General features: G+C 44.3%; 1 protein-coding gene across 7 annotated transcripts in view, besides 6 other annotated features; it reads left to right on the top strand.

The window, feature by feature from the left end:
* The window catches only part of ESYT2 (extended synaptotagmin 2), a 98,513-nt gene that overhangs the window by 12,219 nt on the left and 61,126 nt on the right, over positions 1-25,168 (top strand). For 6 of the 7 annotated variants that reach the window (XM_024446846.2, NM_020728.3, NM_001367773.1 and 3 more), the window contains exons 2-4: positions 18,219-18,260; positions 19,215-19,349; positions 23,565-23,641. In XM_024446846.2, the coding sequence (XP_024302614.2) occupies positions 18,219-18,260; positions 19,215-19,349; positions 23,565-23,641 (254 nt within the window). Of the gene's footprint in view, positions 1-7,817; positions 16,008-18,218; positions 18,261-19,214; positions 19,350-23,564; positions 23,642-25,168 lie in introns of those variants that run through there. The other variant, XM_047420658.1, reaches the window with a different exon arrangement.
* Positions 1,919-2,213: a silencer, noted in NCBI's record as "tiled region #8416; K562 Repressive non-DNase unmatched - State 14:Gen5'". NCBI's record gives its function as "represses a minimal TATA promoter and a strong SV40 promoter by Sharpr-MPRA in K562 cells {active_cell/tissue: K562}" and the evidence as "EXISTENCE:reporter gene assay evidence [ECO:0000049][PMID:27701403]".
* Positions 5,270-5,844: an enhancer, noted in NCBI's record as "H3K27ac-H3K4me1 hESC enhancer chr7:158604138-158604712 (GRCh37/hg19 assembly coordinates)". NCBI's record gives its function as "activates a minimal SCP1, AML or CMV promoter by ChIP-STARR-seq in naive H9 embryonic stem cells {active_cell/tissue: H9 hESC(naive)}" and the evidence as "EXISTENCE:reporter gene assay evidence [ECO:0000049][PMID:30033119]".
* Positions 12,546-13,137: an enhancer, noted in NCBI's record as "H3K27ac-H3K4me1 hESC enhancer chr7:158596845-158597436 (GRCh37/hg19 assembly coordinates)". NCBI's record gives its function as "activates a minimal SCP1, AML or CMV promoter by ChIP-STARR-seq in primed H9 embryonic stem cells {active_cell/tissue: H9 hESC(primed)}" and the evidence as "EXISTENCE:reporter gene assay evidence [ECO:0000049][PMID:30033119]".
* Positions 15,735-16,235: an enhancer, noted in NCBI's record as "H3K4me1 hESC enhancer chr7:158593747-158594247 (GRCh37/hg19 assembly coordinates)". NCBI's record gives its function as "activates a minimal SCP1, AML or CMV promoter by ChIP-STARR-seq in naive H9 embryonic stem cells {active_cell/tissue: H9 hESC(naive)}" and the evidence as "EXISTENCE:reporter gene assay evidence [ECO:0000049][PMID:30033119]".
* Positions 16,236-16,736: an enhancer, noted in NCBI's record as "H3K4me1 hESC enhancer chr7:158593246-158593746 (GRCh37/hg19 assembly coordinates)". NCBI's record gives its function as "activates a minimal SCP1, AML or CMV promoter by ChIP-STARR-seq in naive H9 embryonic stem cells {active_cell/tissue: H9 hESC(naive)}" and the evidence as "EXISTENCE:reporter gene assay evidence [ECO:0000049][PMID:30033119]".
* Positions 19,912-20,411: an enhancer, noted in NCBI's record as "H3K4me1 hESC enhancer chr7:158589571-158590070 (GRCh37/hg19 assembly coordinates)". NCBI's record gives its function as "activates a minimal SCP1, AML or CMV promoter by ChIP-STARR-seq in primed H9 embryonic stem cells {active_cell/tissue: H9 hESC(primed)}" and the evidence as "EXISTENCE:reporter gene assay evidence [ECO:0000049][PMID:30033119]".

The following is a 25,168-nucleotide window of genomic DNA, read 5'->3' as shown; positions in this document are numbered from 1 at the left end:
ATAGATGGTTAATGTTTCCTGTCAGACTTAAAGAGTCTGTCAGTTCTTCTGTCAGTTCTGTCAGTCTTAAGTCTGTGTCATGGTAATGAGGTGTGTCCGATGCCCCACCCCCTCATCGTGGCCTGAAGTAGTTTTACAGGTTAACTTTGGAATGCCTCTGGCAGAGAGGAGGAGCTGTTCAGATAGTTGGGAGCTTAGAATTTTCTTTTTGGTTTATACTTTGTACCCAATTTGTAAAATGTTATATAAAGCTGGTGTTGATATTTATACACAATTAGAAGTGAATTGCCTACTGAGATCATTAATTTATTTCATTTGTGCTACAAATCTTTAAATGGCTAGTAAGTGCGTACCTAAAATTTGTTAACACCGTCTACATTAATATCTGAGTGCTAGACTTTTGAAACCGAAACTCCAAATGTAATCCAATACAAAGTAACAATACTCTTCCTACTTATTTTTTCACACATATAAAGATCTTGGAATTTATCCAGTAACTAGTAGAAAGAATTGATTTTACTTAATCACAAATGGTGCTGTGTGTGAAGCAAAGTTTTAAAAGAAATGCTCCGTAGATGTCAACGTGAGTACTGGAGCAGGAGGGAAAGGATGACATGGTTGGTGCATTAGGGCGCCTGTGACAAAGTGCCATCAACTTGGTGGCTTCAGACAACACTCTTATCTTTTAAGGGTTCTGGAGGCCAGCAGTTGGAAATCAGTTCCTCTGGGCTAAAACTGAGGGGTGGGCAGGGTGTGCACTCTGGAGGCTCCTGGGGAGAAGCTTTTCCTGCTTTTCTTGCTTCTCAGCCACATTCCATGGCTGCAGGCCCTTCTCCCTTCAGAGCTGGCAGCTGCTTTCATCCTCATGGGGCCATTCTGCTTTCTGTTTTGTCAAATCTCTGTTCCTCCCTGTTTTCTTTCTTTTCGTTAGACAAGGATTGAGGCTGCAGTGAGCTGTTTGCACCTAGGCTGGAGTGTGGTTGTGTGATCATAGCTCACTGCAGTCTCGACCTCCTGGACTCAAGCAACCCTTCCACTTCAGCCTCTCGAGTATCTGGGACTACAGGCCTGTACCACCACACCCAGCTAATTAGCTAATTTTAAACATTTTTTGTAGAGATGGAGTCTCACTGTGTTGCCCAGGCTGGACTTCCTCCGTTTTTAAGGATACTGGAGATGGCATTTAGGGCCTTATGGATAGTCCTCCACCAGCGAAGATCCTCCATTTTACCACATCTGCAGCGTTCTTTTTGCCATATAAAGCGACACTCACAAATTCCAGGGATTAGGACGTGACCATCTTTTGAGGGCTGTTACTCAGCTTCCCACACTACCCTGTTTCTTGGAGTATTCAGGAGCCAGGAAGGCTTAGTTCCAGCACTTTCCCCGTGCCGTAACATCTCAGAAATCAGATTTATTTTACAAGGGTGTATCACTGTTAATGGACTGTGCTCTTAGTGGCACATAAAGTGATGGTGCAGCTTATAATTGATCACATCTTGGATTCAATACTAAGGTTTTTTTCCATTTTTGGCTGTAGTCCTGGTGTCTGAGGTTGGATGTGGTCTTTCAGAGGTGGGATGAGGAGGAGCTGTGCAGTGGGAAGAAGGGTTAGGAACTGTGGGAACTGAGATGACCACAGGAAGCAGCACCATAAGTTACACAAGTGGAAGAGTTGGGCTTGATCCCTAGACACAGGGCAGCATCCAGATATCCACTAGAGGGATGTGTCCCAATTTAAAAGGGGGGTTTAGCAAGATACATTTGGCAGGGATATCCAGAGGGACTGGGGACACATATCTAAGCATGAGGGGGAAGGAGTGTGCCTGAATGTCAGGGGAATAGCTTTGGGGAGGAAGGAAGATAGATGAGTGAGCCAGGAATGTGAACAACCACCCCAGGGTGTAGAAATGATGGCTGGAACAATAGGAGCAGTAGTTTGAGGCTGGGGCTGCGGTGGGAGATTACTTCAGTCTTTAATGTTGGTGTAAGAAACCCAAGGAAGTTCCAAGAGGACTCAGCCCAACAGCAGCCAGCACCTCCCTGGAGAGACAGGAGACAGGCAAGCGAGAGGCGGAAGACCGTGTGGATAGCTTCACAAGGGAGCTGCCTCTCTGCACTCGGAGGAGTGTAACAGAAAACCCGTGAGAAAACAAACGGTGAATGTGCTTAGCACTCATTGCAGGCTCTCTTCTAACTCTTTACATGGAAGTCATTTAAACCTCACAGCTAACCCGCCACCTTTGTTTTACAGGTAAGGAAACAAGCTCTGCTAATGTCAGAGGTGAGCAAGGCAGCCCTTGACCTGTGAGGTCTGTGCACTCCCTTGCATTCTCTGCTCTCTCCTCTCTCTTGATGGCAGTAGGGGAGGAACTGGGGATTTGGCACCATCTAATCTAGTCATTTTTACAACCCCAAGAGAATTGCATGTCATTTCCGCTCTTCAGAGGAGGAGCTAAGGTCTGAGAGACCCTGCAGTCACCCCAGTACAAGTCAGGTGTACCCGCCTGGCCATACTCAGTGCCCTGGGAGCTGGGCCCAGCCCATAAAACCTGTGCTTTGCAGAAGGCACCAGAGACACCAGGGTGGTGGCAGGTTACTGTTTCTAGAAGAGCAAAACCAATGCAAGTGAATAAGCCACCACCTTGTTAGCCAGTGGGAGTTTCTCTGGGTGTTTTAAGTTTATATACTGTTAGCATTCTTAAATACGTTAGGAGGTGACAGCCAGACTGTGATATATTTTTAAATGTTTCACATCTGTGAGAGTAATCGGGACGAGTAACGTATATTTTTAAATGTTTTAGATCTGTGAGGGTAATCGGGACGAGTAATGTATATTTTTAAAACGTTTTTGATCTGTGAGAGTAATCGGGACGAGTAACATATATTTTTAAAACGTTTTTGATCTGTGAGAGTCATCTGGACGAGTAAGGTATATTATTTCATATATATATATATATATATATATATATATATATATATATATATATATATATATATATAATTTTTTTTTTTTTGAGACGGAGTCTCGCTCTGTCGCCCAGGCTGGAGTGCAGTGGCGCGATCTTGGCTCACTGCAAGCTCCGCTTCCTGGGTTCATGCCATTCTCCTGCCTCAGCCTTCCGAGTAGCTGGGACTACAGGCGTCCACCACCACGCCCGACTAATTTTTTGTATTTTCTAGTAGAGACAGGGTTTCACCATGTTGGCCAGGATGATCTCTGTCTCCTGACCTCGTGATCCACCTGCCTCGGCCTCCCAAAGTGCTGGGATCACAGCGTTAGCCACCGCGTCTGGCCTGAGTAACATATATTTTTAAAATGTTTTTGATCTGTGAGAGTCATTGGGACGAGGAACGTATATTTTTTAAACATTTTTGATCTGTGAGAGTCATCGGGACGAGGAACGTATATTTTTAAAACGTTTTTGATCTGTGAGAGTCATCGGGACGAGGAACGTATATTTTTAAAATGTTTTTGATCTGTGAGAGTCATCGGGACGAGGAACGTATATTTTTAAAACGTTTTTGATCTGTGAGAGTCATCGGGACGAGGAACAGAGGTGCTCTCCCTTGGTCTTTGTTTCCTTCTTACTGTTAACACGTTTTGTCTGGGATGATTTTCCTCCTGCCTGAAAAACTTACTTTAGTATTTCTTTTAGTGCAAGTCTACTAGCAATGGATTTTCTCAATTTTTGTCTGGAAAGGTATTTATTTCCGTTTCACTTAGTTAAATTAATAGACTTCATTTTTTAGAACAATTCTGGATTTCCAGAAAAATTGAGCAGATAATACAGAGCCCCCACATCCCTTCTTACAACTTCCTTTGCTATGTCTGTCACAACTAATGAGCCCGAGTTGATATGTTTAATACTAGTCTGAAGCCCACAGTTTACAGTACAGCTCATTTTCAGTGTTGTACATTCCGTGGATCTTGACAAATGGATAATGGCATGTATCAGCTATTACAATGTCATACGAAGTAGTTTTGCTGCCCTAAAATCTTCTGTGCTTCAATTCAACTCTTCCTGTCCGTCTGCCTGTGCTTACTGATCTTTTTACATAGTTTTGCCCTTTCTAGAATGTCATATATTGGAATTATAAAGTATTGGCCTTTTCAGATTGGTTTATTTCACCTAGAAATATGCATTTTAGGTTCTTCTGTGTCTTTTCATTGCTTGATAGCTCATTTGTTTCATTTTTATTGCAATAAATTCAAACATAAAACCATTTTAAAGGACACAATTCAGTGCCATTTACTACCTTTACATGTAGTGTAATCATCACCTCTCTCTGGTTCCAAAACATTTTCTCTGCCCTAAAAGGAACCCTGTTTTGTGCCCATTCGTGGTCACACCCTGTTTCCCCTCCCCCAACCCATGGCAACCACATCTGCTTTGTATCTGTGGGTTTACCTGTTCTGGATATTTCCTGTAAACGGAGGCATGTAATATGTGTGTGATCTTTTATGTGTGGCTTCTTTCAGTTAGCTTAGTTTTGAGGTTAATTTGCATTGTAGCGTATACCAGTGTATCATCTCTTTAAGGCTGAATATTCCGGTACCACAGTTTGATTATCCATTCATCCACAATGGCCATTCGGGTTGTTTCCACCTTTTGGCTGTTTTGAATGGTGCTGCGATGAACATTCATGTACACGTTTTTGTTTGAATATCCATTTTCAGTTCTTTTGAGTATATACCTAGGAATAGAATTGTTGGGTCTATGTTTAACATTTTGAGGAATGCCAAACTGTTTTCACAATGCCTGTACCATTTTACATTCTCCCCAGCAATATATGAAGGTTGAATTCCTCCACATCCTTGCCAACACTTGTGTTTTTCTGTTTTTATTGTTATTGCTGTCCTAGTGGATGTAAAGTGGGAGTCACTGTGGCTCTGACTTACATCTCCCCGATGACTGACTAGTACCACCTTTACATGATTTTGTGCATTTCTTCCACCTCCACATTCAGTTAGGTCATTTGGTAGCTTGAAATTGGCCATAGTGGGAATATTCACACCTCAGAACTTAGCAGTCTCGGCGAAGTGGCTGTGAGCAGGAGCCAGCCCAAGCCCATCCCTGCTCTGAAGCATGTACTCCTCCAGAGGGGCTCCCCCGTCCTCTGGAAGGCAGAGTGGGCACAGGCTGCCCTCTCCAGGGTGGGTCTGAGCCGGCCTGTGGCTGTGTGGCAGGGGGAAGCTGTGGCTGCCTCTGATACTCTCTGCTGTAAGGCCCAGCCCTCCAGATGTTGTGACTGGGAGTCTGCAGTGTTTCCTAAGTGCCTCCTGGTCTGTCCCAAAGTCCAGTTTGTGCTTTCTCAGTACAGCATCTTGCCAGAAGCTCTGTTTTGCTCCTTCGAGGCTAGCCTCTTGCCCTGGGTAGCTTAGGAATTTAGCAAATTCCTCTTGAAAGAGACTGTACCCTTCTTCCCACTTTCCTCTTTCAGGGATCTTGGCCCCTCAGATTCTGGTTGTTTAGCTGACCCAGACTCCAGTTCTTGTCCCGCCAGTCTCCTGAGACGTCCATAAACCCTGTTGGCTTCTTTGAATCTCAGCCACATTTCTCTGGATTTCTCAACCTCTTGTAGCACAACCTTGAAGGAGAACAGCCATAGAAAGTTGACTCACCACTCTGTGGTCTCCGCCTCCCCTGAATCCTGCAATGTTTCCAGTGTTTGCAGGTGTGTGTGTGAGCTGTGGCGGCCTGTGCACATGTGCGGGAGCTTGTGTTCATGCGCCTGTGTGTTCCTGTGAACGCGCATGGTTCATCTTTATGGTCTCACCAAATATTTCAGTTCTGATGTATTTCTCAGTGATTAACTAGTTTGGCAGATAATTTGGGACCCACAATGGAATGGCTTTGCCCCTCATTTATCACTGAGCTGAGCCATGTGCTCTTTAAGGACCAGATAGCTCACTGGGTACCTTTGTTGGTTGGTTAAGCCACGAACAAGGAACTCTGAATTAGGCCACTGATTTACTTTGGGTCCTCTGGCTCTACTTACTTGGTTCTGTTATTATTTGGGGAAGTATCTAATTAAAATAAATGGGCCATGGTAAAAGCAGTATGTGTTTTATAGATTGAGATATTCATTTCTTTTTTCTTAATTTTAATTTTTTATTTTTTATTTTTTAAGAGACAGTGTCATTCTGTTGCCACGCTGGAGTGCAGTGGTGCAATCATGGCTCACCGCAGTCTTGACCTCCTGGGCTCAAGTGATCCTCCCACCTTGGCGTCCCAGAGTGCTGGGATTACAGGCTTGAGCCACTGCGCCTTACCCCTTTTGTTTTTTTTAACAGCTGTATTGAGCTATAATTCACATACCATACAATCCAGCCATTTAAACTATACAATTAACTGTTTTTCAGTATATTCTCAGGATTGTGCAACCATCACCGAAATCTCTTAGTAGATCCTTTTGTCTTCTGTAAAGAAACCCTATACCCATCAGCCCTCAATCCTCAGACCCCTCCACTGCTCTCCCTGTCACGCCTACCCTAGCCACCCAGTAATTCGCTTTGTCTCTAGAGGAAGACACCTTCTGGACATCCCATGTAAATGAAATATTATAACATGTAGTCTTTATGATGAGCCTTTTTTTTTCCCCCCCAAGACAGGGTCTCGCTCTATCACCCAGGCTGGAGCGCAGTGACGCAATCACGGCCCATTGCAGCCTCCACCTCCCAGGCTCAAGTGATCCTGCCATCTCAGCCTCCTGAGCAGCTGGGACCACAGGCATGTGCCACCATGCCCATCTAATTTTCAGATATTTTGTAGAGATGGGGCTTCACTGTGTTGGGCTGGTCTTGAACTTCTGGGCTCAAGTGATCCTCCTGCCTGTCAGCTTTCCTCCACAGTGCTGGGATTACAGATGTGAGACACACCATGCCCGGCCCACTTCTTTCACTTACTAGATAGTGTAACATATATTAGTGTTTCATTTCTTGTATTGACAAATAATTCTGTTGTATGAAAAGGCTATATTTTGTGTAGCCATTTATCAAGTAATGATCCTTTGAGCTGTTTTGACTTGTAGGCAAATATAAATCATGCTGCTGTGAGCATTCATGTACAGGTTTTTGTGTGGATGTGTGTTTTCCTTTCTGTTGCATATATACGTGTGGGTAGAGTGGGTCATATGGTACCTCTGTGTTTACATATTTTGAGAATATGCTAAATTGATTTTCAAAGGGGCTACATCATTTTACATTACCACTGGCAACAAATGAGAGTTCGATTTCCCCACGTCTTCATCAAAACTTGTTGTTAAAAGGAAAATCTCAGACAAATTAAGTTTAACGTAGTTTAATTGAGCAAAGAATGATTCACAAATTGGGCAGTCCCTGAACCAGAATAGGTTCAAAGAAGCTCCAGTGCATCCATGTAGTGGAAGAAGATTTATGAGCAGAAAAAAGAAAGTGAGCTACAGAAACAGCCAGCCAGGTTATAGTTCTGCATTTGCCTTATTTGGATGTGGTTTGAACAGCTGGCTGCCTGTGATTGGCCAAAACCTGGTGATTGGCCTAAGAGTATGCTACAGTCTCTTCACACATCCAGTTAGGAAACCTTCAGGCTGAAACTTACAATGTGTTAAGGAGACAGCTTTAGGCTAAACTTAACACTGTCTATATTTTAACCATCCTAGAGGGCATGAAGTGATACCTCATTGTGATTTTGATTTGTATTTCTCTAACTCATAATGTTGAGCATCTTTTCATGTGCTTCTTGGCCATTTTTATATCCTCTTTGGAGAAGCGTTTATACAAATACTTTTGCCCCCCTCATCCCCCCTGGTTTTTTTTTTTTTTTTTTTTTTTGAGATGGATTCTTACTCTGTAGCCAGGCTGGAGTGCAATGGTGCGATCTCGGCTCACTGCAACCTTCGCCTCCCAGGTTCAAGCGATTCTCCTGCTTCAGCCTCCCGAGTAGCAGGGACTACAGATGCACGCCACCACGCCCAGCTACTTTTTGTATTTTTAGTAGAGATGGGGTTTCACCATGTTGGCCAGGATGGTCTTGATCTCTTGACGTTGTGATCCGCCCGCCTTGGCCTCCCAAAGTGCTGGGATTACAGGTATGAGCCACCACGCACCACGCCCCGTCACTTTTGCCCATTTTTTAATTGGCTTAATGTGATCCAAAGTTTACTACAGTAGCCCCCCCTTATCTGTGGGGGATATTTTCCAAGATCCCCAGTGAAACAAGATAGTACCAAACCCAGTTGCTGTCAATCAGAACATCTGTTTTGTCTTCTACCCACAAACTTATTTGTTTATTTATTGGTTTTGTTTTGTTTTGTTGTTGTTGTTGTTTTCTGAGATAGAATCTCACTCTGTCACCCAGGCTGGAGTGTAATGGCGCAGTCTCGGCTCACTGCAACCTCTGCCACCCGAGTTCAAGCAATTCTCGTGGCTCAGCCCCTCCCAAGTAGCTGGGACTACAGGTGCCCACCACCACACCTCGTTAATTTTTTTTTTTTTTTTTTAGTAGAGATGGGATTTCGCATGTTGGCCAGCCTGGTCTTGAACTCCTGACCTCAAGTGATCTGCCGGCCTCAGCCTCCCAAAGTGCTGGGATTACAGGCAAAGTCCTGGGATTACAGATGTGAGCCCCTGTGCCAGGCCCCAGCCACAAATTTAATGCCTTTTCCATCTTAAAGTTTGACATGTGACAGCAAAACTAGCATGAAATTATTTTCCTTCTTCAGTTTCACAGATGGAAGATTCGTTCTTACATCTTAGCAACCTCAGCGTATGATACTTAGTAAGTCGAGAACTTTCACCTTTTCACTTAAAGGAAGCACTCAATGGCTTCTCTTTGGCATATCTGAATGGCCAACATCACTGTTGGTGTGTTTTGGGCCATTAAGTAAAATAAAGGTGACTTGAAATGAGCACGTCGATCCCACGACACTTGAGCTGACGATCAAGACAGCACAGGTGAGTGGGCGGGAGCATGCTCGGCGCGAACGTGCCGGACGGGGCTCGTGTCTCGAGCTGGACAGAGTGAGATTTCATCACCTTACTCAGAACAGCATGCGGTTTAAAACTGACGAATTGTTTGTTTCTGGAAGTTTCCATTTAATATTTTCTGACCTTGGTTGACTGCGGGTGATTGAAATCACAGTGGAACTGCCGATAAGTAGGGGATTTCTGTAATAGGTAACAAATTGGATCCAGGTCAGTGGGTTCAGTTTTCAAACACTTTAGTTACCCCAATGTTAAGATTTGGGGTATTTCTAATAAAAAAAGGAATGTTTGGCAGACATTTTTCTGCACCTGGAGCTGTGGGGCCTGCTCTCTGGAGAGAGAGGCTGGACGGCCCTACCCCGTGGCGCCATCCTTTTGCGGGTTTGCGCATCCCTCTCAGCGGGCAGCAAGCCTCAGCTCATAGCCTGGCCTCCTTTTTGTTTTTGTGGCCAGTGAACAGCTTTTACATTTTTTAATGGCTGGAAGAAAGTAATTTGTAGGAGGTGAAAATGTTATGAAATTCAAATTTCAGTGACCATATTAAAGTTCTTTTGGAACACAGCCGTGCTCATTAGTTCATACTCCAACTGTGGTTGAGTTGTAGTGACAGAGACCTCATGGCCCGTAAGTGCCCCAGATATTTCCTGTCTGACCCTTTATGGGGAATGTGTAACAGCAAACAGCAGTGAGGCACACAGGCTATAATTGGGAAAGATGTTCTGGAACCTTGGTATCGAACATCCAGTGAAGGTAATGAACATATTCAGGAAAAAAGTACTAGTGTTTTCATGTGTCTGATTATTTACTGTTTCTTCATTGTGTACAAATAAATAATTAAAAAGGAAACAGTAAGTTTTAGGGTGGTAAATTTCCGACCTCCTTCTCATAAGTCGCGATAATTTCCTATCTGCATGAGAATAAAGTTAAGCTCCTAGGAGATACATAAACTTATTTCTTCAAAATGTAAAATTCACAGATAAATTTTAAGTCCGATGTTAATTCTGAATCCATGTAGATAGATTTTTAGTATTCCAGTCACTTCTGTAATTCTTTTTTTTTTTTTTTTTTCCTTCAGACGGAGTCTTGCTCTGTCGCCCAGGCTGGAGTGCAGTGGTGCGATATCGGCTCGCTACAAACCCTGCCTCCCGGGTTCATGCCATTCTCCTGCCTCAGCCTCCTGAGTAGGTGGGACTACAGGCGCCCACCACCACGGTTGGCTAATTTTTTGTATTTTTAGTAGAGACGGGGTTTCAAATAACCCTGTTTTTACAATCTCATGTAGTTTCTCATATATATATATTAGAATAAACTATATATACTATGTATATAGTCACACAAAGCTGGATTCATTTAAGTAGTATACAGAATATATGCAATTAATTCAGTGCTACAATTGCCCATCTATCTTTTAATCCATTCCAGTCAAAACATAAGCGTGTATATTTGAATTAATATTCATTTGATTTAAATTTAAAATAAAAACAACCGGATTGTCTTAGGTGTTTCAGTGGAGGAGATGAGAAGACAGATTTCCTATTCTTGGACTCATTTTAATTTGTGATATTGATGTAACTCATGCCAGAACTTCAGCTTAAATCACGATTATGAAATAATTGTGTGACCTTTCTTTTAGCAGAGACAGGAAAATGTCTAAAGGACTTCAGAATTTTGTGAGAATATGCTTCAAATCTTTGAAAAATATTCTTCACGGACGTGTTTATATGTAAATAAGTCTGTTGACATTAGTGTTTCCATGAAGGGATACCCTGTTCTCCTGAGTAGAAGCTGTGAGGCATCCCTGTTTTGACTCTGCCATTGAATATTAGTCCTGGTTTAAATTCTCCTAATATTTCACGCATGCACTAAAAGGGGGCTTAACCCCTTTAAAAAATAAATGGATAGAGGAAGAGTATATGTCAGATATAACATGAAATTCAGGGTACGTTCTCTTAGGAATTTAAGACTTGGATTTCAAGTGACTTAGACAGCTTTGTTATGAAAGGTATGCTGGGATCAACCTAGTTTTTAAGTTTTTCTTTGACTCTGTTTTCTGATCTACCAGAATAGGTGATGGTCACTTGTCTAATGAAGAAATAGTGATGAAGTGTTGCAAACAGTGAGGAAGCCCTCTCAAGGCCAGTGCCTCCTACGCATTGTGCGCCAGCGCCTCCTACGCGGTGTGCCCCGGCACCTCCCACGCGGTGTGCCCCGGCGCCTCCCACGCGGTGTGCCCCGGCGCCTCCCACGCGGTGTGCCCCGGCGCCGGCTCTGCTGCTAGTGTCCTCCTTCAGGCCAAAAGAGCCCTGTGTCCCTGGGGCCCATGGTGGCCACAGCTGTGGCTCAGCCGTCATTCCTTTCGTGGCAAGAGTCCTTATTTTACACTGTTAAGAGTTTTAGGTGACATAAGAAAGCAACAATTTGCCATAGCTCTGGTAGACAACACCATTTGATTTGTGGTGAGAAAGTCAAGGAGTGACCATGATCACTACCTGTGGTCTCAGTTAAAAACTTCAGGGATATTAGTGTCTTTTCGGATTTCCTAGTGAAATTTCTCATTAATGTAAAAAGCACCTGGGGAGAATTTTGAAAATGTTTTCTGTTAAGAAATGACCTTAAACAGATGGATTTTTAAGCAGTGTCATTGCACCAAAGCATTAGGGTATCCAGTTACTCTGTTGCAGTAATCGAAGCCCATAAACCACAGAGAAAATTACAACCTTGTGGATTTTGGAAAAGATCAATTGCTTTATTTACTGTGTGAATTAATTGATGGCCTGCTTTTTATGTAGACTAGAAATAGATAAAAATGGTTATCTTCTGCAATTTCCTTTTACTATTGGAGGTAGTAATTTGACCATACTGTGACAGCTTATTACAGGGTTGACAGATGTTTTTAGATTCCTCTCTACCTTTTTAACCTTGACTACTTTCTTTGTAGAAGCAACTATTTGGATAAAGCATCCTAATATCTTTGAAAAAAATACCATTTAATCAAGATTTCTAACCTGCTTTTTCAGTTTCCATGAATACTGACCAAAGTCTCTAGAGAAGACAGGCAGATAGGATTTGAGGATCTTGAGGAGGGACAGATAGTTTGGGAGATGAGTAAAGACATTTGATTATACAAAGATCAGAAGGCACAAATTTGTGTTGGTACCAAATTATATTTAAGTCACTCTACTGCTAAGTTCAGCAGCCCAGCTGTGGGGACGAGCAGAGATCCCCACTGATGTGGAGAGCTAACAAGTGCTCCGTCAGATCCTCGTGCCTTACAGTTCTAAACATTGAAGCGCCGTGTGCCTGGAAGTCTCGTCCACTGTCAGGAATACTGTCCCTAATACTTTTTCTCATCGTAATCTGATAATATGAAGAGGTGGCTCTGAGTTGCTTTTCCCCAGGCCCCACAGAAGTGCTTCTCTTCCCTCCAGTGCAGGACACCAGCTTTCTTGGAAAGCACTGAATGAGGCCTTGGGTTTTTCATGCACCTCACCCTTCTCGGCAGCTTGTGTTTTTCACGCGCCTCACCTTTCTCAACAGTTTGGGTTTGTCACACACCTCACCTTTCTCGGCAGTTTGGGTTTATCAAGCGCCTCACTTTTCTCAGCAGTTCGGGTTTGTCACGCGCCTCACCCTTGTCAACAGTTTGGGTTTGTCACGTGCCTCACTTTTCTCAGCACTTTGGGTTTGTCACGCGCCTCACCTTTCTCAGCACTTTGGGTTTGTCACACACCTCACCTTTCTCGGCAGTTTGGGTTTATCACACGCCTCACCCTTCTCGGCAGTTTGGGTTTGTCGCGCGCCTCACTTTTCTCAGCAGTTTGGGTTTGTCACGCGCCTCACCCTTCTCGGCAGTTTGGGTTTGTCACACACCTCACCTTTCTCGGCAGTTTGGGTTTGTCACGTGCCTCACTTTTCTCAACAGTTTGGGTTTGTCACTCGCCTCACCCTTCTCAACGGTTTGGGTTTGTCACGCGCCTCACCCTTCTCGGCGGTTTGGGTTTGTCGCGCGCCTCACCCTTCTCGACGGTTTGGGTTTGTCGCGCGCCTCACCCTTCTCGGCGGTTTGGGTTTGTCGCGCGCCTCACCCTTCTCGGCGGTTTGGGTTTGTCGCGCGCCTCACCCTTCTCGGCGGTTTGGGTTTGTCGCGCGCCTCACCCTTCTCGACGGTTTGGGTTTGTCGCGCGCCTCACCCTTCTCGACGGTTTGGGTTTGTCGCGCGCCTCACCCTTCTCGGCGGTTTGGGTTTGTCGCGCGCCTCACCCTTCTCAACAGTTTGGGTTTGTCGCGCGCCTCACCCTTCTCGACGGTTTGGGTTTGTCGCGCGCCTCACCCTTCTCGACGGTTTGGGTTTGTCGCGCGCCTCACCCTTCTCGACGGTTTGGGTTTGTCGCGCGCCTCACCCTTCTCGGCGGTTTGGGTTTGTCGCGCGCCTCACCCTTCTCCGTGGTTTGGGTTTGTCGCGCGCCTCACCCTTCTCGACGGTTTGGGTTTGTCGCGCGCCTCACCCTTCTCAACGGTTTGGGTTTGTCACGCGCCTCACCCTTCTCGGCGGTTTGGGTTTGTCGCGCGCCTCACCTTTCTCAGCAGTCCCCAAGTCCTGGCTGCTCCAGGAAGGTGTTCTGTGTGTGTTAGAACCTTGGACTCCCTTTTGTTGTGCTGTGTGTGAACCAAAATTTTCTGGGCAGTTTTAACTTTCTGCAAGTCTTTCTGACCATTTGCGCTGACTTTAATTCATATTCAGAGAGAACAATATAAAACATTTTAAATATTTAACGTTTTTAGTATTTCTCCAGACTGAATTATTTGAACGCAGGCCACATCTGTTTAAGTAAACCTGTAGTATGCTGAGTGCTTCCAAGTAAGGGTGTGTTGCTTGCCTAAAGGCTTCTAGAAACCAGAGTTTCCGATTTCTATTGTGATGTAACTGATAAAGAAGAGGCGTCTCATGTTCTTGTAGAACCGAGGTTCTCTGGTCCTTTTTGCCTTATCTGTTCCATTTTTGAGACTGTGTTGATTTTACACAAGGAAACAAAGCTACCCGCTTAGATGTTGTTCATTTTATAGGCTTAACGTAGAACTAGCCAAGTGGTGTAGGAACGTTGGTGTTTTCAGATGGCCAGTAAATGGGTGACCCTCTCACTTAGGTGTGCTCCGGGGAACGGCGCGTTGGCCCCCACCTATGCTGGTGGGGCCTGCCCCAGGGCACACTCTCGATTGCTGTGCCAGGGACTCAGATTCCTTCTTCCTTCCCCTTTAGTTGTGGTCTAAGAGAGGGAAAGAATTCTTCCTTGCAACCAACCATTGCTTCCAGTAAGAATTTTGTGTGTTTTGTTTTTTTCTTTTTAAAATAGTGCCTAAAGGGTTATGCAGCATTGAGCAAAGCTCAAATCCTTCTTGGAATGAGGAAGAATCTTGAATAAATGAACTTGATTGGCAAGTTCATGATTTCATGTTTAGTGGCATTTTGTTTCTAAAAGAATCATTTTATCCATTTATCTTTTAAATTTTACTTAAAGGTATTAAATCAGCAATGCCTCAGGTGTAGCATCTTTCTTCATATTGTCTCAGACATTACCTATCTAAACTTATTCTAGGCTATTAATTTTTAAAGAGGAATGAGTCAGCAGAATTGATACTGCATGTTTCAGTGTTACTAATGTTAATGGAATTTTAAAATAACTCCTCTACATTCCCTGTCAAGTGCCTGCTGTACTTTTTTTTGTAATTAAAAGTGCTTATATCAGCCTGGTGTGGTGGCTCATGCCTGTAATCCCAGCACTTTTAGAGCCCGAGGCAGAGGGATCACTTGAGGCCAGGAGTTTGAGACCAGCGTGGCCAACATGGCAAAACCCTGTCTCTACTAAAACTACAAAAATTAGCCACTTGTGGTGGCGGGCACCTGTAGTCCCAGCTACTCGAGAGGCAGGAGAATTGCTTGAACCCGGGAGGAGGAGGTTGTAGTGAGCTGAGATCGTGCCACTGCACTCCAGCCTGAGTGACGGAGTTAGACTCCATCTCAAAAAAAAAAATGCTTATATCGTGCATAGGACATGGAATTTATGAACAATAAAATCCTGTGCAAGTTCTGATTGTTAATACTGGTCTTCAAGGGGAATGTTGTTTGAAGAAAGACATTCCTTTTACTTAATTTTTGTTTTAAATGTTAGCTGTCAATTTTTTTATGTTTGGATATAGGAAGAATATGATTTAATTGGCAAGAAAATTTTGACCAGTTATGTCAATTCCATCCTGTATACTTCAGCAGGGCATAGCAGGAAGGACTCTGGAGTCCTTTGGGTCTGGATCTCTTTATTCTACCTGTTCCCCCGAGGCGTTTTGTTTTCTGTTAGATGGAGCCACTAATTGTTCAAAGGTTCTGGTGAGGATTAAACAAAATATTGTATGTAGAGTTCCTGGAGCACAGTTAAATGTTCTGTCTTTGTATATTTGGTTTAATTTTTCTAAACAAAACAACTTTGGTAATAGCAGCGTATTAGAATCTAAAATACGCCTTTGTTCTTTTAAAAGATAACATTAAAGAGATTTTTGCGGGTGGTGTCAACTCAAATATAATAGAAACGTGAATAATCGTACAATGATTATTTCTAGTTCATACAGATAATATAAATATTGAAATTTGTTTTATAATTAGAACTTAAGAGAGATTTGAGTCTTTAAGTTGAAAGATAAGATTTAAAACCGAATCTGTGTTCCTGTGTTCCTGTGTGATTGAGGACTGTGTTTTCTGTGATCCCTGTGTGTCCCAGTCTTTCTCTGTGATGTTTTTGCTACTTTAGATTCTGTTTTATGCAAAATAAGCAAATGTTTATGAATATGTATTAGCGAGAAGCAGATTTTTGACTTAGTGAACAGAATTTAAAATTTCGTAACAGATTTGCTTTGTTCAAATCTGATATATTCTCTTTCTCTTTTTCTTTAGCACATTGGGATAATCACTCATAGATGAAAAACCTCAGAACTATTGAATGCCTTGGGATAACACTACTAAGAGACGGCTCGATTTTCAAAGCCACTTTGTGTAAATTCTAATACAAGCCAGTTAACCAGTAAATTCTAATACAAGCCAGTTCACTTATATTCAAAGCTTATTTGGGCAGAGGGTTTCTCTGTTCATTCCAGAATAGAATGGGGCACTACAGGCAGCTCCTCCCGTGCTCCTGTCCATCACTGCCTCACTGCAGGCTTGGGTGCCGCCGCCTCCGACGCTCCTGCCCATCACTGCCTCACTGCAGGCATGGGTGCCGCCTCCTCCCGTGCTCGTGTCCATCACTGCCTCACTGCACGTGCTTTCTGTGCCACTCGGGGGGTGCTGATGTCACCACACAGGCAAGGGTTGGCACCCATGCCTACAGTGAGGCAGTGATGGACAACATGGTGAAACCCCATCTCTACTAAAAATACAAAAATTAGCAGGGTGTGGCGGTACCCGCCTGTAATCCCAGCTTCTCGGGAGGCTGAGGCAGGAGAATCACTTGAACCTGGGAGGTGGAGGTTGTGGCGAGTCGAGATCGTGCCACTGCACTCCAGCGTCGATGACAGAGGGAGAGTCTGTCTCAAAAAAAAAAAAGAAAAGAAAAGAAAAAAGAAAAAGAAACCTATTTAAAAAAAAGTGGACTGGGCACAGTGGCTCACACTTGTAATTCCAACACAGGGGGAGGCTGAGGCAGGAGGATTGCTTGAGGCCAGATGTTCAAGACAAGCCTAGACAACATAGTGAGATCCTGTCTCTAAAAAAATTTAAAAATTAGCCAGTTGGCACATGCCTGTAGTCCCAGTCCCAGCTACTCAGGAAGCTGAGGCGGGAGGATCACTTTGGCCCAGGAGTTCCAGGCTGCAGTGAGCCGTGATTGAACTACTGCTCTCCAGCCTGAGTGACAGAGTGAGACCCTGTCTCTGGATTTAAAAAAAGAAAGAAAATATTTTCTCTGCCATTGGGGCTAAAATAAAATATCCTTGGCCGGGATCGGTGGCTCACACCTATAATCTCAGCACTTTGGGAGGCAGAGGCAGGCGGATCACGAGGTCAAGAGATCGAGACCATCCTGGCCAACATGGTGAAACCCCATCTCTACTAAAAATACAAAAATTAGCCAGGCGTGGTGGTAGGTGCCTGCAATCCCAGCTACTCAGGAGGCTGAGGTAGGAGAATCACTTGAACCCGGGAGGCGGAGGTTGCAGTGAGCCGAGATCGCGCCACTGCACTCCAGCCTGGTGACAGTGAGACTCTGTCTCAAAAAAAAAAAAAAATTAAGAGGCCACATAGTCTTAAAAATATCATACGCATATGCAAATGTGTATAGAAACATGTCTAATGTAAGTTATACATGCTTATAAACGCATAGAAAAGAGGTTTGCAAGAATATGTTGGCCAGGCTGGTCTTGAACTGCTGGCTTTAAGTAATCCTCAGCCTCCCAAAGTGTTGGGGTTACAGGCATGAGCCACCATGCCTGGCCCTAAATAGGTTTCTTTTCTCCTGTACAAACCCTTCTCCAGTATCCAGGCCCTACCTGGAGAATTGTAAGAGGGATCCCTATCTGGGTGAAGGTGGGAGATGATGGTATGGAGAGGAGCCATGTAAGGAAAGGTGTCTCTTAGCTGGTTTGGGCCAAAAGAGAAAAGCAAAAGGGAAGAGTGAATTTTATTTTAGTTTATATTTTGTTACTTTATTTTATGGAGTCTCATTATGTTGTCCAGACTAGGGTGCAGCACTAATCACAGGCATGGTTGTAGCACATTGCAGACAAGCTCCTGGGCTCAAGGGATCCTCCTACCTCAGCCTCCTGAGTACCTGGGACTTGCAGGTTTGGGCCACCACGGCTGGCCTGGGAAGGGTAGGGGCTCTGAGCCTAGATTGCCAGGACATGATGATAATACTACTGACAAATTAGAAACATGTTTTTTTAAAAAGGTAGAGGTCAGTTTTGTATAATTTATGATGTTTCAGATTCCAGTGAATTTCCTCTGGACAGTGGGGTGCAGAGAAGACTCTGATGGCATTTTCCACACACAACTTTTTTGCTCATTGTGTTCTCAGAACGTAAAGAGCTGGGGTGCCATGCATTTCACTTTCCCTCCTTGGAGACCAGTTTCCCAAGCTTTAGAGCAGAGTGTTTTAAAGAAGCATCTTGTAAACATAGGACGTATGATGAGAATATGAAATTGCCTGCTTGACATTTTATTTACAGTTGTTGGGAGTTAATAAGTCATATGTGTGTATTTTCCTCCTAGGTTCATTTTCCAGACACTGAAAGAGCAGAATGGCTAAATAAGGTAAGATTAGAGTATACCAACTACCATCCATCAGTGGAATTGGAGGATGAGATACCATCTTTCCATATTTGGGGATTTGCATGTTGGTAATATTTGAGCTCGTTTGGACTTTAGTGGGTTGGCTTCTGGTCCCCAAAGACCTCAGTCACAACAAATGCATTTCTTTTCTTTCCAGAGAGTGAGAACTGTCTCTTTGACTTGAGAAAAGTATAGGCATGTGCATATTTGTGTCTCTGGCCATGTGTCTTCTTTTCTGAACAGCCAGGGCTCAAGTCTATTTTATAACAATCATAAGTTTTAAAAAACATGACAAAGAAAGAAATAACTTACAAGAAATTCAATAATCAATAACAGTCTTTTTTTTTTTTTTTTTTTTTTTTTTTTGAGACGGAGCTTCACTCTTGTTGCCCAGGCTGGAGTGCAATGGCATGATCTCGGTTCACCACAACCTCCACCTCTTGGGTTCAAGTGATTCTCCTGCCTCAGCCTCCCGAGTAGCTGGGATTACAGGCACGCACCACCACGCCTGGCTAATTTTGTATTTTTAGTAGAGATGGAGTTTCTCCATGTTGGTCAGGCTGGTCTCAAACTCCCGACCTCAGATGATCCACCCGCTTCAGCCTCCCAAATGCTGGGATTACAATTGAAGAACTATATAAATATTAATGTTGTTTTCAGCACCAAGTTGAAACCACAGGACTTCTAGAAATCTTTAAATGTGCTGACATATTTAACCAGAATAACTAGTTCCTGCAACATATTGGTTAATCAGTAGTTGGTTTTTCTAATAACTTTTTAGAATTTAGATCATGTTGATTTTGCATAACAACAAGATCCTCCCGCCCTTTATTTTCAAAACCAGGTTTGGTCTGTTGCGAGGGTTTCTCACGAGCACTCGTGTGTGTCATGCATTATATAGCATTTTGTTTAAACTGAGTTCTTTTTCCTTTCCAGACTGTAAAACACATGTGGCCTTTCATTTGCCAATTTATAGAGAAGTTGTTTCGAGAAACTATAGAACCAGCCGTGCGGGGAGCAAACACCCACCTTAGCACCTTTAGTTTCACGAAGGTCGACGTGGGCCAGCAGGTCAGTGTTCTCTTAAGTATCCTCACGTGCACACAGTCAGATTGCTGTGAAAACACAAAACAACACATTTTCTTTTTTTTTTTTTCTTGAGACGGAGTCTCGCTCTGTTGCCCAGGCTGGAGTGCAGTGGCACTATCTTGGCTCACTGCAAACTCTGCCTCCCAGGTTCACACTATTCTCCTGCCTCAGCCTCCCGAGTAGCTGGGACTACAGGCGCCCTCCACCACGCCCGGCTAATTTTTTGTATTTTTAGTAGAGACGGGGTTTCACCATGTTACCAGGATGGTCTCGATCTCCTGACCTCATGATCTGCCTGCTTCAGCCTCCCAAAGTGCTGGGACTACAGGTGTGAGCCACCGCGCCTGGCCGAAAAACACATTTTCTTTTAAATTTTTTTTTTTCAGACGGGGCCTCACTATGTTGCCCTCCCTGGCCTCAGACTCCTAGGCTCAAGTGATCTTCCTGCCTCAGCCTCCCAGCTAGCTGGGTATATGTTTTTTAAACAACTTCAGCTGGAAGCAGTGGCTCATGCTTGTGACCCCAGCACTTTGGGAGGCCTGAGCTTAAGAGTTTGAGACCAGCCTGGGCAACAAAGTGGGACTCCGTCTCTACAAAAAAATTTAAAAGTTAGCTGGGTGTGGTGGTGCACGTATATGGTCAGAACTACATAGAAGGCTGAGGCAGGAGGATCACTTGAGCCCCAGGAGGTGGAGAGTGCAGTGAGCCATGATCACACTACGGCATTCCAGCCTGAGTGACAGAGCGAGACCCTATTTCAAAAAACAGACAGCTTCAAATTATGTTCTGAAGAAAATTGTTCACCAAGGTCTACCGGGTGCGTTTCTCACTCAGGCTCTGCCTCCAGCCGTGGTGCCTTTTCCCGTCTCTGTCGGGAGGCTGTCCTGCTGCCCTCTCGCCTGCAGTGCCCTTTCCCGTCTGTCGGGAGGCTGTCCTGCTGCCCTCTCGCCTGTGGTGCCCCTTCCTGTCTCTGTCACTCAGGCTCTGCCTCCAGCCGTGGTGCCTTTTCCCGTCTCTGTCGGGAGGCCTTCCGGCTGCCCACTCGCCTGCAGTGCCCTTTCCTGTCTGTTGGGAGGCTGTCTTGTTGCCCTCTCGCCTGCAGTGCCCCTTCCTGTCTGTCACTCAGGCTCTGCCTCCCGCCGCGGTGCCTTTTCCCGTCTCTCCTGGGAGACCGTCCTGCTTCCCTCTCGCCCGCACTGCCCCTTCCCATCTGCCGGGAGGCCATCCTGCTGCCTTCTTGTCCGCGGTGCCGTCTTGGCCATGTCAGCCTCCGTCTCATGGCTTCTCTTTAACACTGACTTTTTCTCCACCACGTGTCTTTCTGCTCCACGTTCTTCTGTCAGCACGCCCTTTTCGGAAGCACTAGTTTTAAGTAGTCTTTCCTGTGAGCGAGTTTGATATGTGAATTCATGCTAAATGTGCAGTAATTGACAAGTTTAAGGTGTTTACCCCTCTCGGGATGTTAAAAAACAAAACTACTAATGACTCTAATGCTGGTATGTTAGGTACAACATTCATTACGTAAGTGGAAGAAAAGATGGATTTTGTTAATGGAGTCACATTATATAAAAAGGAAAGCTGATACTTCCTAATACCACCTTTCATAAAAGCCTCAAGAGTACATTTAGTTGATCATGGGAAGTTTTTCTTTTTCTATTTTTAAATCAGTGTTTAAGTAGCAACAGTCCAAGGTAACATTGTTTTATATGCCTAAAGACTCAGAACGTGATAGTTCTTGTAAACACACACACAGTCTGCACACGTTGTTGCACACACAGCAGAGTCAGCAAACAGACATCCCCGTGCAGTGCGGTTCAGGGTTGTGATAGATGTGGCTGTGGGAGGGTCTGGCATGGTCACTGTGTATTTGCCACCTGTTAGTGGGCACCAGTGTACACCCCATGATCTCCAGGCTGCTGGCTACCTTTCTCCATCAGAGCTGACTTTCTGTGTGCAGAGAATGCTCTGTCTCAGAAGCAGTTACTCCAGACCCCGTGCCTCCTGTGCAGCCTTACGTGTGACACCTGCCTGTATGTGCTGCTGCTTTTCCTGTGACATGCCTGAGGTGTGGCCATCCTGTGCAAGAGTCCATGTCTCTACACAGGACGCCCGTAGGACGAGCCCATGTCTCTACACGGGACGCCTGTAGGACACTTTCAGTGTTGACTTTACCTTCAACACCTAAAATGGTAACCACAGATGGGAAAAAACACAATTACAAGTTAAAGTGCCATGTGAGTGCAGGTTAAAGTCCCAGTGACAAGTTAAATGCTGTAAAGCAGGGGCTGCATGCTCTGTCTGTACATGGCCGCAGGGGCTGCATGCTCTGTCTGTACGTGGCCGCAGGGGCTGCATTGTCCTGCTGTCTCTCCCTCCCTTCTTCTACAGCCCTTTAGCCAGGTGAAAACCATACTAGCTCCAGGGCTGTAGAGTCAGGCCAAAGGCACATTTAGCCTGTTATGCCCTAAGTTACAGCATGTTCGTGTTTGTGGATATTTAAAATTCCATCTCAGCTGGGTTTATTTTAGGAATAATTTAATTATGTTTGAGTTCCATCACACACACTTTAAGTTTGATACCAGCTGAATAAGGAAATCCTTGGAGAATAGCAAGAGTATTAAGAGGAGTGCTGATTCAATAAAGATAGCTTTGGCATTTTCATCTACTGTACCAATGTCTTACAAGTGTCAAACCCAGGCTTTCTGATGAAGGGATGGATAGAATGGCATGTGGAGTCCTGTGCAGGGTCCTTGGCCAGACTGTGTGCTGACCAAGACTCCCGGCAGCTGGGCAATGTTGCCTTCTGGTGTTTGTCCTTCATTAGGTAATGCCCAGTCATCTGGAGTGGGGTTGGTCCCCTCATCTCCACGTCATTTGGGGAGTATGTTATCTGATGCACATCATGCCTGCCCCATTTTCACTTATTAGAATAGTGTGTTGATTGTGTTTTTTAGTGCAGTCTGTACATGGCTTAGCTAGTACCATAAAGAAAAAGCCTGGGAACTTGGGAGCATAGGAGGTGGCTAGACTTTCAAGTAAAGGCTTAGAGTTTGATTTGACAGCTCGTTGAGAGGTGTGATTTTAATACACTCATGCTTGTCAAAGTAAGCAGTAGTACTCTAAAGGTAAAGTGCTTCTTTCATTTTTGAGACAGGGTCTTACTCTGTCACCCAGGCTGGAGTACAGTGGCGTGATCACCACCGACTGCAACCTTACCCCCCCGGGCTCAGTGGATTCCCCCTACCACAGCCTCCCGAGTAGCTGGGACTACAGGTGCACGCCACCACGCCTGGGGAGTTTTTGTAGAGATGGGGGTCTCCACTCAGGCTGGTCTCAAACTCTTAGGCTCAAGTGTTTCTTCCGCCTCCACCTGCCAAAGTGCGGGGATTACAGCTTTGAGCCATTGTGCCCAGTTTTGTTTTGTTTTTAAGAGATGGGGGTTCACTCTGTTGCCTAGTCAGGAGTGCAGTGGCACAATCATAGCTCACTGCAGCCTCAAACTCCTGTGCTCAAGCAATCTCCCCACCTCAGCCTCCTAAGTAGCTAGAACCACAGGTGTGCGCTACCATCTTAGCTAATTTTTTTTACTTTTTGTAGAGATAGGGTTTTAACCATGTTGCCCAGGCTGGTTTAAACCTTCTGGCTTCAAGCAGTCCTCTGCCTTGGTATCCCAAAGTGTTGGAATTACAGACCTGAGCGGCCACGCCTGGGCGTGAAAGTCTTAAGAAATGAAAAATTATGAGACATAAAGAATAAATGAAAGGAAGTTATGTTTCAAACATGGTAGTAAGGATGGAGTAGAGGGAAAGGGTCAAGTTAGATGTGAAGAGACGAGAGTAAGAAGCTTGAAAAGAGCACATACGTATTGTTACATGTGCTGACAACAGCAATCATACCCAGTGCTTATTAACTGCTGTGGGCAAGGCATGCACTGCTGTCTTGACATTTATTTTGTCACCTAATTTCACAGTAATCTTATGAAACAGAGGCCCTTGTTTTCTGCAGCTCACGGGAGGAAGGTGAGGAACAGGTGTTAAATAGCTGAAAATCAAGCCACACTCTGTTATGAAGGCAGAATTTTAATTCCTGTTGTAGTCTGAAATTTAAAGCTTGTTCTGTTTGTCTCTATGGTATGTTACACGGTTTGATTTTTTTTTTTAACCTCTGTATCTTAAAATAAGCTACTTCTTATTTCAGCCCCTCAGGATCAATGGTGTTAAGGTATACACTGAAAATGTAGACAAAAGGCAAATTATTTTGGACCTTCAGATTAGGTAAGTTTTTATTTGTTATATTTGTGTTATGGTTAATGGCGTGTAATGTCACTTAGCTGTACCTGTAAGGTGGAGGATACAGTGAGCACACGTCTTACCTGCTGTTGATTGGAATTCGACTAAATTCTTGTTAGACATCCAAATATTATTTACCTTCTGGGTCTCAGTTTCTAACAGCCTTGATCATTGCCATTCATAAAATATGTTAAATAAGAAGTTAAAGACACTGCAAAAAAAGAAAACTATGGACCAATATTCTTTATGAACATTGATAAAATCCTTAACAAAATACTAGCAAACTGAATTCGGCAGCATATTAAAAAGATTTTACACCATGACCAAGTAGGATTTATTCCCAGAATGCAAAGATAATTCAGCATACAAAAATTTGTCGATGTAACACACCACATTAAAAGGAAGGAAAAAACCAAATCGTGATTATCTCAGTTGATGGAGAAAAAGCATTTAACAAAATTCAATACCCTTTCATGATAAAAACACTGAATGAACTAGGAATAGAAGGAAACTAACTCAACATAATAAAAACCATATAAGAAAACCCCACAGTTAACATACTCAGTGGGCCGGGCGTGGTGGCTCATGCCTGTAATCCCAGCAATTTGGAAGGCCGAGGCGGGCGGATCACGAGGTCAGGAGATCAGGACCATCGTGGCTAACATGGTGAAACCCCGTCTCTACTAAAAATACAAAAAATTAGCCAGGCGTGGTGGTGGGCGCCTGTAGTCCCAGCTACTCGGGAGGCTGAGGCAGGAGAGTGGTGTGAACCTGGGAGGCGGAGCTTGCAGTGAGCCGAGATCATGCCACTGCGCTCCAGCCTGGGGGACAGAGCGAGACTCCATCTCAAAAAAAAAAAAAAAAAAAAAACCCCACGTTATACTCAGTGGTTAAAAACTGAAAGCTTTTTCTTTAAAATCAGGAACACTGCAAGAATGCCCTCTTTCACTACTTCTCTTCAACACAATATTGTGAGTTCTAGTTGGAGCAGTTAGGCAAGAGAAAGAAATAAAGGGCACCCAGGCTGGAAAGGAAGAAAGACATTATATATATATATTTATATATATGTATGTGTGTTTTTGTTTGGTTGGTTTTTTTTTTGTTTTTGACACAGGGTCTTGCCTTATCACTCAGGCTGGAGTGCAGTGGCGCAGTCTTGGCTCACTGCAGCTTCGACCTCCCAGAATCAAGCGATCCTCTCACCTCAGCCTGCCGAGTAGCTGAGACTACAGGTGCATGCCACCACGTGTGGCTAATTTTTTTATTTTTTTTTTGTAGAGATGGGGTTTCACCATGTTTCTCAGGCTAGTCTCGAACTCCTGGGCTCAAGTGATCCACTCACCTTGGCCTCCCGAAGCTCTGGGATCACAGGCGTGAGCGACTGCACCCAGGGGAAGGAATTAATCTTTGTTTACAGTTGAGATGATCTCATATGTAGAAAACCCTAAAGATCCCACCAAAAAAAAAAAAAAAAGAACTCGTGGAACTAAGAAATAAATTCAGGAAAGTAGC

Source organism: Homo sapiens, chromosome 7 (genome assembly GCF_000001405.40).
Source record: "Homo sapiens chromosome 7, GRCh38.p14 Primary Assembly".
NCBI lineage: Eukaryota > Metazoa > Chordata > Mammalia > Primates > Hominidae > Homo > Homo sapiens.
The sequence above is the reverse complement of the archived record's forward strand: the minus strand, read 5'-3'. Positions and strand labels throughout refer to the sequence as shown.